Source organism: Homo sapiens, chromosome 1, assembly GCF_000001405.40.
Source record: "Homo sapiens chromosome 1, GRCh38.p14 Primary Assembly".
Classification (NCBI taxonomy): Eukaryota; Metazoa; Chordata; class Mammalia; order Primates; family Hominidae; genus Homo; species Homo sapiens.
The window spans coordinates 237410216-237427888 of NC_000001.11; the positions used below are offsets into that span (position 1 = coordinate 237410216).

Sequence of the window (17673 nt, forward strand, 5' to 3'; positions counted from 1 at the left end):
ATTGAAAAATGCCCCAGCTGTTCTTTCATGTGGCTTTTTTGGATAAGCCAAGTGCTCTGAAGCGCTGTGAATTTGTCTATATTTCTCTTAAGGGCAAAAAAGATCTGTCACAATGTAGATATGAATTCTAGATTTAGAAATGTTATTCAAGATAGATAAGGTAAGACATTTCCTTCAATTTATGAAAGACCCTAGACCCTGGATTTTATCCAGCTAGCTTTCTCTGAGATTAAAATGACCAATAATATGGGTAGAATATTCTAGATCTAAGGTCAACCAATCAAGGCAGTAGGTCAAATCCAGCCCACTGCCTTTTTTTGCAAATAAAATTTTATTGTTACACAGCCATCCTATTTTTAAAAACATATTGTCTATGTTTGCTTTTGTATGATAATAACAGAATTAAATAATGAGACAGAGACCATATGGCTCGCAAAACCGAAAATATTTACTAACTGGCCCTTTACAGAAAAAGTAGGTCTGCTCCTGTTTTAAACCACCCTTTCATGGTGGCAATGAAAGTCATAGTGGTGGGTGTCAAGTCCAACAGTTCTCGAGACAGTGGATCCCTGTGCTGGAGCTACAGTAAGGGTGACAAAGCAGGTGACTTCAGAAGAGGATTTAAATAAGAGAGAAGGTAGGAAAAGAAGTATTCTTTTAATCTATATAATGTATGCATTCTTTTCAGAGCTTGAATTTTTTATAGTGTCATTTTACAAATGTATTGCGATGCATACACAATAGAATATTATACAACCTTTAAAAAGAAGGCAATCCTGTCATTTGCAACAACATGGATGAACCTGGAAGACATTATGCTAAGTGAAATAAGCCAGGCACAGAAAGACAAATACTGCATGATTTTACTCATGTGTGGAATTCAAATTCATGGAAGGAGAGAGTAGAATGGTGGTAGCTAGAGGTCACCTCCAGTGACTACAGCCCTAGCTAACAACTTGACTGCAACCTCACAAGAGACTCCAAGGCAGACACCAAGCAAGAAGCACCTAGTTAAGATACACTGTATTCCTGACCCATAGAAACAGTATAAAATAATGTGTTTATTATTTTTTTAAAAAAAGAATGCTGAGATCCTGCCATTGAATTGCAGGAGGAGGCTAGCACTGAAGTGACTGATTTATGATGAAGCTATTAATAGGTAGGCTTCATTTCCTAGTTACGTTGTCCCGAGCGATTTTATAATTTAGGGACTTTGAATATCAACAAGTGTATAATATGATTGATTTAGCAACAATCCATTCAATTCAGGCAAAATATTATTGAATCTTAACTCCCTATATGGAAGGATTGAATATAAATTATGACCACAATCATGGTCATGATCATCACCATCACCATCTGCATCCTCAGAGCTGACATTTGTTGTGCAAGGACTTTTCCAAGTGGTCTACGTGGGTTATATTACTCATTCATTCTTCACAGTAACCCAGTAAAAATTATTCCCATTTTACATATGAAGAAAATGAGACAGAGAGGTCAACAGCTTGCACAAGTTCACACAAAGAAGTGACATCTTAAGAAAGTTAATAACAATCAAATGTGAAAGTGAGTCATCAACTTTTAGTTGCCCTGCAGAACAAACAAGAGAGTAACTGTGATGTCATTGGTTGACAGAGCCCTGTGGCAGCACTCACAATGAAAGGAAGTGGTTTCCTTGCAGGTTGGAGGTGTCGCTTACAATGTGCAATCTTTCATTAATAATGTATTTTATGATTCTGTACTAAAGTCCACTAATTAGAATTGTGTGCCCTATAAAATTTTATTGTAAATATATGCCCAACTGTCAAGCTATGAAGAACTCGTAAGGATTTGTGCTTTTATTAATATGCTAATGCTAGTCTTTTCTGGGCCTTAGATTCTAAAGATGAGCTATCCTAGCTGTCAAAGTGCCTGCTTTTTACCGAGAAACAAGTGGCTTGACAACTGAGATAAGACTCAAATTGTGTTTTATAGCCAAAAATACAAAAATAACTAATTTTATATCAGTGGACAATATTATAATACTTATGAGCAGCGGAATTGATGGTTTACTGGGAAGAATTTGTACTTAGAATAACCTTAAAGGGCCTCTTCAGGCAGTTTTATGCGATCAGCCTGAAATATGAGTTCCTAAATGAAATGTATTATATTGTGGGATAATGTGTTATGTAGGCATAACTTACAGCCTTAAGTCTGGAATTTTTCAAAGTACTGTTGAACAAGCTCATACTGCTGGTTATTATATGTGCATATTTTTAACATTCCTATTCAGTGAAATTACAGTGACTTTGACTTTGTCTGGTTTATGAGATTAAAGTTTTTAAACAAAATTCTGTTCAAAATAATAACAATGTCCAGTTCTTTTAGCACATACTCTTTTTCTCAGTAGCTGTAACACTGTTTTAGTACATTGCAAAAATAGTCTCCAGTTAACAAAGAGCTGCATGAGCTCTTTTGTATTTTCATATCCGTCGACCTTCCTGAATTCTGGCATCCTTCCTGCCATTTGCATTAAAATCCCTTGTGATGATTACCTCAAAAGGTGCTGTTGCTATCAGTCTGTGTAATTTCTTAGAGAATCTTTCTCCCTTTTCAGTCATCCAGCTGGAAAGGGCATTTGCTCTGAGTATAATCGTTTATTTGTATGAGTTCAAAGTTGGTAATACCATTTGGCAAACTTGTTGGTCTTTAGAACAATTGTCCTCCTAGACTCTGATTTGATACTTGAAATGCATTGCAGGGAAAAGGGACAATCCCTTAATGGAGCAGGTGTATTCCTCTAGGTGGGCTGATTTCTAAATAAGTTTGAGTGTCCTTAAAGTCCTTTATGAAGGACTGAAATTCCTATTTATTTAAGATCTTGATATTGTGGTGCCAATTTTCAGTCTGAAACAGCCCATGAAGACTTGATTAGACAACCATTGACGCTCTGCACATGCCGTGTAATTTACGTAGGGAACTATGTAATAGCAAAGATTCCCCGCCTGGCAATAAATAATCAAAAGAAGTCATCAGATTCTCTATACCTGCCAATGAAACTTTTAAAAAAATATGAAGAGGAACAATTCAGGGCACAAGAACCTTCAAGATAGAGCTAAAAATATTTCAGGTAGGAAGGAGGATTCAACTTTCCTTTTGACTTTATATTTGTCATGTAAAATTTTAATAAAAATACCATTAGATTTTTATAAAAGATCATTGTTAAATTCAAAAGGTAAAGTTGTCAAAGTAAACCATTTGCGTGATAATTCTTCACTTTATTGTATAAATCCATATAACTTTACAAAGATATATTATTCATGCTATTTGTATCTTAGAGACCTTTTAAAAATGTTTTGAACTTAATTTCTGTATACCTTATTACCTTATGTAATTGTTCCTCTAACGTAATTAATGCTAATAGTTTGATGTTCATTATTTGACAACTTTCTCCATGCTCATACAGATATATGTTCACATATGTACATATATGATAGATTTTTAGTGATAACTTGCACAGAAAATGTACATAATTTACACTCTTGCATCTTATTGAACAGTATATCATTGAGTTTCTTCCTCTATTTTCTGTTGGTTTATTTTGTTCTCTATATGTCTTCAGGCAATTCTTTATTTACATGTTTTATTTAATAATTAAAGGATTGCAGATTAAAAGTGTTCAAAGTTTACCTGTGAATCATAGACTTGTTAAGAAGTGCTTTTCTCTTCATTATATTCTAGATAGAGTATAATTTTGTTTCCCTCTTTGACCCATGAATTATTTAGAAGTTTCTTCATTTTCCAAGTTGTCAATTTCTTTTCTTTTCAGTATTTGTTTCTAATTTTTTTGTTTATGATCAGAAAATACGATGAGTAAAAGTCTTTAAAAATCTGATAACATTTTCTTTGTGGTCAAGTAAAAGACCCTTATTAAAGGTCAAATGTATTTAAAAAGCTGTGTCTTTGTGTGAGTGTGTCTATTTATATATGTGTGTATACACACACAGACGTGCACAATGTCTATATTTTGTCATTCAGTCTTACTTAATCAGTCTGAGTGTTATCTGTACATTGGACTTTTTAAAGCTTTCCAGGTGATTCTAATATACAACCAAGGTTAAGTATGTTGCCAAAATGAAATAATGGGTCTAGTCAAGTGGTTCTCAAAATATGGACCATCAACATCACCTGGGAATTTGTTGGAACTGCAGATTCTTGGGCCTCACCCTAAGATGTGGTCACTTAGAAACTCTGGGGATGGGTCCAGCAATCTCTTTTTAAAAAATTATTTTAATTAGCACATAATTGTACATATTATGGGGTAGAATACGATATATGGCACAAAATTATTTTTAATTGGCACATAATTGTACATATTTATGGGGTACAATATGATATTTCAATACATACACACAGTATAGAATGATCAAATCAGCCGTTGGCATGTATATCAATGCAAACATTTATAATTTCTTTATGTTGGGAACATTCAAAATCCTCTCTTCTAGCTATTTGAAAATATATGCTAAGTTGTTAACTATGGTCATGCTATAGTGCTATCAAATACTAGAACCTATCTCTCCAATCTACTTGTAATTTTTAAATGACATTCTGTCATTCTTAGCAACATGGTTGAGCCTAGAGGACGTATGTTAAGTGAGATAAGCAATCTGGGTCTTAACAAACCCTCAAAGGGAGAGGATTCTACCTCACCGAAGACTTGAGAGCCGCTTACCTATGTCAGTGGCTCTACACTGAGGGTGATTTTGTCCCCAAAGGGACATCTGACAATGTTGGAGAACTCTTAGAACTCTTTTGGTTGTCACAGCTGGTGGGAGGCTACTGGTGGCATTTAGTTGGTAGAGGGCAGGGTTGTAAACATCCTGCCATGCACAGGACAGCCCAAAAGAGAATCACGCAGCCCCAAACATCAACAGTGCTGCTGTGGAGTAACTTACTTAGACTGTACTTTCCAAGGCTTGGCTTCCCATTGCAACCAGCGAGAGAGTTTTTTAAAGTCCTGACTCCAGATCTGTTTAATGTCATTGGTGAGGGTGCACATAAGGATTTCTAAAAACTATCCATGTGAGTACTTTATGCAGCGACAGTTGAAAATCACTGCTGTGGACACTGGTTATTGATGGCAAAAACTGCAATAACTTTTGCACCAACTTACTACCTAAAACTCTTAGGTCCTAATGGATGGATTAGGGTGATCCCAAACTAACTGATTAAATTTTATCTAAAGAAATAGACAATTATGTACCCCTGTTGTGTTATAATGGGAAGTAGAAACACCAATTTGTGAAATGTTCTTGCCAAAAATTCAAACTTGGACAAGCTTCTAGATTTCTAGATCTCACTACCAATTTAGAGGTATGTGTTAAAAAACACCATAGGAAGGCTGTTGGCCAAATCTAGAATGTAGAAAGTCCTCCAGGACATATGGTACAGACTGATTATCACCAAATAAATGGCAAGAAGGGAAGACAAGAGAGGAATGGGGACTATTCTAGAATAAAAGAAACTTAAGACCCCTAACTGATAAGTGTATCTCTTTTGGAACTGGATTTGAAAAAGCAACAGGGGAAAATTAAAAACATCTGTGAGGCAATTTGGGAAGTTCAAACACAGACTAGATATTTCATAATATCAAATAATTATTTTCAGAGTTGCATGTGGAGGGGTAAGTAGAGGTTACAGGTAAAACGCGGTTGTCCCTATGTTGATCATTGTTGATGTCTTCTGCTAGGTGTATGCGGATTTATTTTAATATTCTCTTTACGTATATTTGAAACATTCCACAATAAAGATAGAATGAGAAGGATTATCTAAACAGGTAGGGAACGGCAGGTGAGAATGGTGTTAGAAAAACTTTCAAGACAATAGGAGTTTCCACAGTGTTAAAAAGAAAGTAAGTCTATTGGATTTGGTAACATGAAGGTCACTTGATGACTTTAGCAAAGTCTGTTTCAGTGGAGAAATGGGTCTGGAAGCAAGATTGGAGCCCACTGGAAACTGACAGGAGTAGACATGGTATTACTGCTGTCTGTGAGGCAGGATAGGCTTTCATGTGTTTACATAAGACAGACCCTATAGAGAGGAAGACAGTTAACACTCAGGAAAGAAAGAGGGCATGTGCATCAGCTTTGGTTTCCAAAATAATCTCAAGGCGTTGGTGCAGTCATGAATTTGGATACTTACAGCAATTACTTAGCATTATGTATGGCATATTAACACATTATTTTGAGGGTTTTGGAATTTGGGTGCATGTGATATGCATCCAAAGAAATTCCTTTTTTGTGACTTTTTGGATATTCATATTTTGATATAAATTGCAGATTGCTGTGTTAAAATATTAAGAATTGTGTTCTTACATTTCTTTAAAATGCTTTAAATAATCTAAAACAGAATTTGGAAGTGCAAATATTTATATACATATGTTGAAATAATGATATATTAAACTATACCTAAACTTATCACAGAGTACTTTCATGGACCTAAGTTAGATGAGTAAGGTGAAATCTATTCACTGGGAGGGAGGGATGGGAAGAAACACACACACACACAGAGAGAGAGAGAGAGAGAGAATGAATGAGATTAGAGGGAGAAAATGGCAAGAGAGAATATGTTTAAATCATTGTTTATTCAGGGAAAACTTAGGTTGATCACTGTTACTGTTATTTTGGTTATTTTTATTTCCAGCTATACTGTCTCCTGCCAAAAAAGTATAACTTTAACTGTTTACTCACAGGCCATTTGCTTTTCTCTCCTAATTAGCTTCAAAAAATTAGAGTCCAAAGAATGAAACATGTTTAACTCACATTTGGGCTTTTGTTTGTTTGTTGAAACAGAACTGTTCATTATGAAGGTGGCGCTGTGTCTGTTCATGCACGTTCCCTTTGGAGACTAGAGACGCTAAGAGTTGCGTAAGTAGAACTTCTAAACACAGCCTAATGCACCAAGTGTACCAAATAGCTCAGCGTTGTGCTTCTGTGTCAGCCTGTGATGCTGAAAACTACAGCAAGCAAGCGAACAAAGGAAACACCGAGAAAGTGGTGGACAGTTTCTCTTTTGTCTATTTCCTTCCACCTACCTTTATCATTCCTTAGCCTCAGTTCACCAGCTAGCAAACCTGAGAAATAAGCAATAATTTTGTACAGTCTGCTTTTGTCTTTAGCCTCATTTGTTTTTCTAACATCATCTCATCCCAGACCATGCATCTCTTGGCAGAAATGGCTACTAGGACAGAGTGATGTAAGATTTGGAGACACGACAAGTTCTTTGCAAGCCTGTCGCACATCTCAGATCTGACAGACTGTGGATTTAACCTTCTAAAAGTACATTTAAAACAGGAAACTTGAACATGAGCGTAGGACAGAGTCATTACTGGAAGTCACTATATTTACTTAAAAATCACTTGATAGCTAAGTACAAATCTGCATTGCAATAAAAGTCACTGTGTATTCATTATAGTAATGAGAGTTTTTATATATTAATATTTATGAAACATAAATGTATAAAGTATTTTTTTCTGATGACTTAACTGTCTGAATATTTCCTTTTAGTTCCTGTAAATGAATACAATATGATGATAAAGGTGTCATTTTGAACTATTTTAAGTAGAATTAAAATTTTTAAAAATAATTCGAAGCTTTAGTCCTTTGCCTAAAAGCAGTAAATTTTCAATGTGTTTACTTCCTAGTATATTGGGTTTTAAAGACTTTATTGATTTAGGATGATAATTGATTTGTATTGGGCTTTAAAGACATTATTGATTTAGGATAACAGACTCTATGGGTGGGAATGAGGGCTATCTTACTCTAGTATAACTATATTTAATTAATTAATTTATTTATTTATTTTGAGATGGAGTCTTGCTCTGTCACTCAGGCTGGAGTGCAGTGGCGCGATCTCGGTTCACTGCAAGCTCCACCTCCCGGGTTCACACCATTCTCCTGCCTCAGCCTCCCGAGTAGCTGGGACTACAGGCACCTGCCACCACGCCCAGCTAATTTGTTGTATTTTTAGTAGAGACAGGGTTTAACCGTGTTAGCCAGGATGGTCTCGATCTCCTGACCTCCTGATCCACCAGCCTCGGCCTCCCAAAGTGCTGGGATCACAGGTGTGAGCCACCACGCTCGGCCTAGTATAACTACCTTTATAGACATTTTATTTTGAGATTATTGCCTGTCTAATGGTGATGAGAATAGTTTAGAGGCCTTCAGTCGTTTCTGCTCCTGTGTCCCATGCAATGATTTTGAAAAACTTTGTCCATTCTTGAACACTGTGAGGTTGACATAGAAATCCTTTCATTATCAGTTTAGATGCATAGAATATAACTTCCAGTGTATTTTAAATAGTGATACTTTAAAATAAAATGGTTACATCACCCTTTTCAAAGTATCCAATTGACTGTAAGTAATGCTGTGGTTTAATACCTTTGTTTATTGAAAATGGTCTTCTTTAACAATAAAAATATATATTATTCAGTCTTTCCTTTTCACTACATCCTACTCCTCTGCAACAAAAATATTTATATAAATTTATTTCTTATATTTCTTATGTTAGTCTGTAACTTTAAAAAGCTCTTCTATATTGTCATTAATAACTAATTGAAAACATTAAATGTCTTTGATATAAATGCACAATTGATCAAATCTACCTAAATATTAAAACTTTTGGTAACTACCAAACTTAAAAGAAAATTTTTATTGGAAATGCATATCATAATGAGATGGAAAAAGAAGAGACAGACTTCTAAGGCAAACAAAGGAAAACTCATAGCTTTTATATATTTTGTGATTATTCAGATAATTTAAGGAAAGGGATTTTAAGTATTACTCATATTTTTTTACATTGTGTATTATAAAAATGAAAGAGTAAAGAAGTGTTTATACAAATTAATTGTATACATAATTACTAATTATATATGTAATTAAATTGTCACTATAAGTGCAGTTTCGAGAGGTTGTATTGACCTTGTAAAACAGATTGAATATGTGTTTTCAAAATTTAGAGACATACCTATACTTCATGATTGAGTGCTTAAAGAAATATTTATCTTTTTTGTAGAGAGAGACCCTACATCTGTCTTATTTTTGGTTAAAAAAAAAACATGAAAGCTTCTGAAAACCTGATAGGACTTTGTTTTTATTGTTATCGATACTATTGATGAGCTGTGACTACATAAATCTAGATTATTCTTCAAACTTCTGAATTAAGTAGTCTTGATCCTGTCTCTCTACTGTTGCTTATGTTTGTATTTTGAAATAGAAGTTTGGAGTTTATTTTCACTTTGATTACAGATAATCAATATATAGAAAGGAGATGATCTTATGGTCAGCCACTGGGGAAAGGGAATGCTACTTGCTTCTCATAGTCCAGATGTCACTGAGGGGAATACCACAGAGAAGGCAGAGCAGGTAGTTTTTCAACCATTTAGCAGCTTAAAGAGAGATGTTTTGTTCTTCTCTCTGACCCTTGATTAAATTTCACCTTCCTGTCTAGCAGTAGGAAAGTAGGAGATTCATATGTACGGAATATCATTATTTTAAGAAGTTTTTCAGATTATACTGACTCTTTAAACTACTTTGGCTTTATTGTAGATATGTAAATTAAGCTACATTCAGTTTAGGAGCTTTTATTTTTTTAATTAAATCCCTTTCATTCTAGGAAGTTTACATGTCTTATATGCAATGGCCACATAATTACTAATTTTGCATTATATTTAGCAATTTATAGTGAAGATCCTGCTTTTGTTTGTGATAGAACTATATTGCCTAATGCCAATGTTTATATTCAATATTTGGGATACTCGGTCTTCTCTTTTCTCCAGTGAGATCCTATACTATATATTTGTTGTAGTTGATGTGGCCCATTCATTATATATTTTATACTGCATACTCTTACACATGAAACTATTGTCAAAAGTTTTTCAGTATCATGGCCTTTTTAATAAATGGTTTTAATGTAGGGAGTTAAATTGAATAGAAAATGCTCTCCTATATTTTACTCCAGGCAAAATTATAGGGATATTGTAAGTGAGATATGTGTTAGTTCCTGTAATAGGAATACTCATGGAAATAAAAACTATGAATTACATAGAGTTCAAGTTCTATTTTTTATGTTGCAAATAAACAAAATTAAAGGGTGACATATCATAAAGAAGTACTCACTATTCCCCAATTCCCTTTGAGGTAATTTTGAGTAAATATCGATAATACGTAGGGCACAGTTTTTTGATGTTACCATAGGAAATTGCTTTATAAAACTCCATTACTATTGCCAATTTTAGTTTTTACTACATATGATTTTCTTGCCTTGCCCTCTCATTTGGGAGGAGGTGGGGGTCTGGGCATGTGAGACCAGGCTAGTTTGAGTGGCTGGAAATGAAAGCAAATGTGCTTAGACTTAGACTATGCAGTGGTTTTGCCAAAAACTGGCCACATTCATTCCATTTCTACCAGAATCCTCTTAGAGACTTCAAAGGAGCACTGGTACATATGAGTTCTATTGAATAGAACTGAGCCCAGAACATCTTCCAGATACGCTAGCAAATAGTATATATCTGGTTAAAATTTTGTGCTGTTTTGAAAATGAAGGTGTGTTCCATGATGATTAAGATGAATTGTTATTCAGAAGTGATTCATTATTTACAAATATTTCATTGTTTTTCCAAATAATGGAAACAAATATTAAACATATTTCCAAATATTTCATTGTTTTTCAAATAATGGAAACAAATATTAAACATAATTGTGACCGGGCACAGGGTGGCTCACGCCTGTAATCCCATCACTTTGGGAGGCTGAGGCGGGCAGATCACAAGGTCAGGAGATCGAGACCATCCTGGCTAACATGATGAAACCCCGTCTCTACTGAAAATACAAAAGTTAGCCGGGCGCGGTGGCTGGCGCCTATAGTCCTGGCTACTCGGGAGGCTGGGGCTAGAGAATCGCTTGAACCCGGGAGGCGGAGTTTACAGTGAGCCAAGATCGCGCCACTGTACTCCAGCCTGGGTGACAGAGCGAGACTCCGTCTCAAAATAAAAATAATAGTAATAATAATAATAATGATAATTGTGGTTTTCATAGTATTTGCAAACAATACACTTAATTTTATAAGAGGAGGATTTTAAAAAGCTTGTTTATTTCCAAAATAGAAATACTTTAATGTGCTATTATTGGTAACAAACTTTAATTTCATCTTAAGACAATACCGTGTTATCTGGTTTTATTAGTATACGGTTATTAACTTAATTGGGGGGCTTCCCAAATTAATTGTCTTTATAAACAAATTCATGTGAAAATGAACTTGTTATAACATTCTACTGCTAATTTTCTATGCTAACATCTCAAGTCAAAAATCCAGGTTAGGAAAACAACATTAAATTGATTTATAATTTACTAAAAGATTGCTAGCTTTGAACCAAGTACTCTCAATTTGTAGAACACAAACATTTTTAATAAGTCTGTATGAACCCAAGTTTATTAAATAATAAGATTATATTGAAAATCTCCATATATTTACTTTTTCTTTGACTCATTGTATTTTGACAAAATCATCCAGTGTAAACTGTCTTTTAAAAAATTATCCTTATGTTTCATTTTCTGCTTGTTGTTGACATATGAAGCTTTACAACATTCATTATTTTTAGAGTATACACTTTTTCTTCATAACATATCTGGCTGTATACCTTTTGTGCTTTTTGGCCTTGAATTGGAATTATCTAATATCAAATTTGTCATTTCCTTTTGAGGTTTATTTGCTTGTTGAATCTTTTCTACTCATTCGTTTTTAGTTTTCTTGCGTGCTTTGATCTTAAGCTTGTGTCTTATCAATGATATATATGGCCTGTCCTCACTTTGCATGGTACGGTGTTAAGGGAAAGTCATGCACGATAGAACTGTGCCATCACTCTGCACCTTAGCATGGTTAAAGCTCCTAAATACACAACCTTCAGTTAACAAGGTAATGTGCAAAGCAAGAACAGCTTGTATTTTGATTTTTCTATTTTATCCTACCTGAAAGTCATTTATTTATTTTTAATATACAAGTGATAATCGTACATACTTATGGGGTACATAGTGATGTTTTGATACAGGTAATGTATAGTGATCAGATCAATTAGCATATCCATCATCTCAAACGTTTATCATTTCTGCGCATTAACAACATTCAGTATCCTTCAAAGCAAATTTTTAATGATCATAACTTATCATTTTACTGAAACATTCTATATTTTCTGTTTATTACATTTTTTCCTGACTTTTTTAGAATTTTCATTTTCTTGGCTTATCTTTTTTGTTCATCGCGTTCTAATAATATAATTGTTCCACAATATTAAAATGTAAAGTATAAGAATACATTTCTTTTGTCAGGTAAATATAGTCTAACTATAGACTTCAGTTTATATATATGAGTTCCAATTAATCATACTTAGACGTTGACCACAATACTACTGTTTTTCAAGTCTGTGCAAATACAGCAACAGTTTTTAACTAGTAAATGCTAAAATATTACTTGGAGTTATACTTCCTGCATTATTTGCATTAGAGCTTGACTAATCTGTATTAGAGGGTGACTTGGAGCACAAGTTCTTTGTTATCTTTGCATAGAATAGGGCGCTGTGTGGATGGTACGGCATTTAAGTCAGAACACCTTGAGTTACATTTAACTTCTTCTTACTATAAGCTTTGCGACTTTGTGTATTACTTATCATTCTGAATAGCCATTTTGTTATTTGTGAAATGAAATTAATATCACTAATATCCTAAGTTTTTTGAGAACATTAAGACAATATATATGACTGTTCATTGTCCGACATATGTTTTAATAGCTACTCCTTCTGTGATTGTGGGTGCTATTGGATCAAGTCCTAACTGTTTTCATTAGGTGGAGTGGAAGCCACATAAGATGGGGACAGCCATTCCGACTACGCCATGTCACAACAGGAAAATACTTGAGTCTCATGGAAGACAAAAACCTTCTACTCATGGACAAAGAGAAAGCTGATGTAAAATCAACAGCATTTACCTTCCGGTCTTCCAAGGTGAGACAGAAAATATTTTGGGTTTCCTATAAATGTTACCCGGTCATATTTCCTTTGATGTTAGAAAGGAGAAAAGAAATGAGAAAATAAATGATGTAAGTATGTCTTATGTGTATTTCTAAATTCCCAGTTTCTCTTCCATACATTCCTCTCTGGTAAAACTGACTTTTCTAAACCATTAAAACCTGCCTATAGAAACAATCTAAATGTACAATAAAGGGTAATGATTACATAAAGGGTAATGATTGCATAAATCATACTGTATACATACATATTGGGATAGTATGAAGCTGTCAAAAATATAAAACATGAAAATACCTATTATACGTCATCAAATGAAAGGTGTTTCATGTCGTTTACAGTTCTTAAAACACATCCATCCAGCTCCTTCCTGTTTTCTTAAGCATTGACAGTATACAGTGACCACAGATATTGGGATGTTTTTGGGTTACAGTGTGAGGATAAAGCACACTGGAATCTGTGTCTCAAAGATACATTTATACATCCATTCTTATATGCGGACCTTCATCCTTAACCCTATTGAATCATTTTTATGATAATTGCTATATTCGTCCATTTTCACAGTGCTATAAAGAAATACCTGAGACTGGGTGATTTATAATGAAAAGGAGTTTAATTGACTTATACTTCCGCATGGCTGGGAAGGCCTCAGGAAACTTACAATCATGACAGAAGGGGAAGCAGGCAGGTCTTACATGGAGGCAGGTGAGAGAGAGAGCAGGAGAGTGAGTGTGAAGGAGAAAGCGTCAAACACTTAAAAAAACCATCAGGTCTCACGAGAACTCACTCACTGTCAGGGGAACAGCATGGGGGAAACTCGCCCCATGATCCAGTCACGTCTTTCCCTCGAGACGTGGAGATTACAAATTGAGATGAGATTTGGGTGGGGACACAGAGCCAAACCATATCAATTGCATATTTCTGTTCATAATTTAATGAAGATTGTGAAACTTGGGAAAGATGATTGGAACAATATTAAACTACTAACTAGCTTTCATCTTAGAAAGGCAAAACTTTGTTCTTTTAAATAGATAAAGATTTGACTTTGTATTTCTGCAATTACTACATACTCATCTAGGTATAGGCATCTTCACAGTGTTATTCAGGGCTCATTGAAAAGAAAAAAACGTATTACTTTGTTTTTTCACTGCTAGGAAATTCTTAGTATTCAATCGCCTTTCCCATATTTTGTATGCTGGCCCAATTCAAGTTGGATTTTTGATAACAATGTTATTAGATGAGGAAAAGATGTTAAGTACCATGTATAATATATTCAAAACAAGGTCATGATTTGGCTTAGTAGAACTACAATACATGCACTACAATGCTTTTTCAATACTGGATTAGGTTTAAATTTTTACTTTGCCCCTCTCTAGAGATCTATATGTTAGGTAAAATCTTCTAAATATTTTACAAGCATTAACAAATGATTATTTCCTATTTAGGTAAAGCGTTTACCCTAAAAGACCAATTTTCTGTATGCTTAATAAATTCCATTTTATTAATCTTATAATGGTGTCCTGTCACAGCATAGGATTGGCAGCATAAACATAAATATTTATTGAACTTTGAAGGTGTCCCACAGAACTTCTATTTGCAGTTGTCACTGGAGGCCACTGACCACTTTATTTCTACAGTAGGTCTATGGCCTGGATTGCTCCAGTGAGTGCAGGAAATAGAGAACATTAATTTTGCTAATTATGAAAATAAACTATTTCACTATACTCTTAATAATGTATTTCATATAAATAATGTCTAACAAGAAAACATATTCATTATTTAGAGTGATAATTGTAACAAAATTAAAAGTAGTTATTTACAACTACTTAAAAGTTTTTTAGTGCTTTAATCATATTTCATTTCTTCTGATTTTGAAAGCAGTACATGTTGGTCTTTGAAAGTTTAGAAAATACAAAAAAAAGTAGGAGTAAGAACTACCTAATTATGCAGAATATCAACGTTTTGATGAATTTCCTTCCTAATCATTTTTCTTTTGCTGTGTAAACGCACACAACCTTGCAACATGGGGATATAGGGATCACCAACACCCCTCCCCCATGCAATTGAAATCTACATTTTGACTCTCCAAAAACTTAACTACTATAAAGAAGGCTGGGTGTGGTGGCTTACACCTGTAATCCCAGCACTTTGGGAGGCCGAGGCAGGTGAATCTGACCAACATGGTGAAACCTCGTCTCTACTAAAAATACAAAAATTAGTCGGGCGTGGTGACATGTGCCTGCAGTCCCAGCTACTCGGGAAGCTGAGGCAGGAGAATCGCTTGAACTCGGGAGGCAGAGGATGCAGTTAGCTGAGATCGTGCCACTGCAGTCCAGCCTGGGCGATAGAGCAAGACTCTGTCTCAAAAAAAAAAAGCTATAAGGAAGATAAAATATATTTTCTATGCCTTAGGTGGAAGTGGACCATCAACAAAATTGGTCCTTGTTTTCATGTTGTGTAGGCTGAGGAGGAGGAGGAGGAAGAAGAGGGGCTGGTCTTGTTGTCTTAGGGGTGGCAGAGATGAAGGAAAATGCATGTATAAGTGGACCTGCACAGTCCAAATACATGTCGTTCAAGAATCAACTGTACATTACAAAATATGACTATAGTTTGGTGTTCTGCTTTCATTTGAGGATGTATAGTAGGTATTTTTATATTTTATATTTTTGACAGATTCATACTATCCCAATATGTATGTATACACTCTGATTTATGCGATCATTATTCTTTATGTAATCATTACCCTTTATTGTACATTTAGGTTGTTTCTATAGTTATATACATATATTCATATATATATATTATTATAAATAAAACTCAAACCAAAATAAGGTGTGGGGAGACCAGAAGTAATTCTGAAAAGACAGTATCCTGAATGAACATTCCCAATGCCTTTCTCTTTCAACTCCTGTTCTGGGTTATACCGAATGGTAGCAGATGCCTCTGATTCTATGAGTTAACTGGAGAGCTCCAGGAAAGACAGTCAGGGTAGGTCTTTATTCTCCATTGTGAAAATAGAGAGGCACAGCTGGTAAAACCTCATTATCCTTGCAAAGCATCTGTATCTATATATTTGCTCTGTGGACTCTTAGAGGGCCTCTACAGTGGGCCAGAATTGCTCCTTGTCTCTGTAACTGGAAAGCACAATTAATCCCATTATGGGGACATGGGCTTCTTTCTTAAATCTAGCTAGCAGAGGGGTGGGAATTTGCTAGTTTATCTACTGATAGCACCTCCGTCCAGAAAGAAAAAAGTTCAACCCACTAAAGAAGAACCAATTATTTGATGGTAGAAACCCTTTTCAAGTAAAGAAGGTGGTACCTATTAAAATGGCATTCAGCTTATTGACAATAAATTAGAAAAACTAGAAGAAATTGATATCCTTCCAGCAAAATATAACATACCCAAATAAAATCTCGAAGAAGTAGAAAAACATGAACCGGTACATCACAGTGGAAGACATTGGAATGATTTGCCAAATTTGAGTATTTTAAAAAGCTGGGAGTCTGTGGTGGGAGGATCTCTTGAGCTCAGGAATTTGTGGCTGCAATGAGCTATGATCATGCCCACTGCATTCCAGCCTGGGCAACACAGTGAGACCAAGACTTTATAGAAAAACTAAAAATAAAAAAATTAACAGGCAAAATACATCTAACGAAAATTGGAGGAAAAAGAGGAAGAGTGAAAGGTACGGTAGGTGCTCCAGTTGCCTTCTATGAAACAAACATCAAAGATCTTCTTAAGATTGAAAACTCAAGTAATGGAAGCATAAATACTTAACAGCCAAAAAGGAAACACTCAAATATAATACCATTTACTAAAACAAGATGATGGAAGAGAGAAAAGTTGGTGAGAGAAAGAGGAACACGCTACCTTCTTCATCATGCGTAATCCAGCCTAATAAAAAGAAGTAAAGTGTTACTAAAGAGTCAGAGACATAAACACAGATGCAGGCATGCAGACAATGAGGAAAATGAGACCACAGAGCGAATGGCTCTAAAAAAAGGTATGAAAACAGAAAACCTAAAATATGACACAGTGAAAACCTAAAATATGGCCCACTCTATTTGCTTATCAATATATATAAATGGACTGTATCACAATTTAAAATTAAAATAATTTCATATTTGGGCATGCAGCATAAATTATGCTGACATTAAGAGGCACATCTAAAACAACTTTATTTGGAAAGATTGGAAATAAAAAGATGGCTAGTGGAATACCAAGAAAATACAAACAGGCCAGGTGCGGTGGCTCACTCCCAGCACTTTGGGAGACCAAGGCAGGTGGATCACTTGAGGTCAAGAGTTCGAGACCAACCTGGCCAACACAGTGAAACCCTGTCTCTACTAAAAATACAAAAATTAGCTAGGCGTGGTGGCATGCACCTGTAATCCCAGCTGCTTGGGAGGCTGAGGGAGGAGAATTGCCTGAACCTGGGAGGCAGAGGTTGCAGTGAGCCTAAATTGTGCCACTGCACTCCAGCCTGGGCAACAGAGCAAGACTCTGCCTCAAAAAAAAAAAAAAAAAAAAAAAAAAAAAAGATATCTGTTCTTAATATCAGATGAGGTGGAATTCAGGCAAACTAAAGCATTGCAGGAGACAAAAAAGGATATTGC

At 35.0% G+C, this 17673-nt stretch overlaps 1 protein-coding gene across 18 annotated transcripts in view; it reads left to right on the forward strand.

Moving 5' to 3' along the window:
- RYR2 (ryanodine receptor 2) overlaps nt 1-17673 on the forward strand; it is a 791805-nt gene that overhangs the window by 368032 nt on the left and 406100 nt on the right. For all 18 annotated transcript variants that reach the window (XR_007062490.1, XR_002957299.2, XM_006711802.4 and 15 more), the window contains 2 exons: nt 6834-6908; nt 12877-13033. Coding sequence is in view for 16 of the 18 variants with exons in the window: in XM_006711802.4 (XP_006711865.1) it covers nt 6834-6908; nt 12877-13033 (232 nt within the window). In the remaining 2 variants the exon portion in view is untranslated. The remainder of the gene's footprint in view (nt 1-6833; nt 6909-12876; nt 13034-17673) is intronic.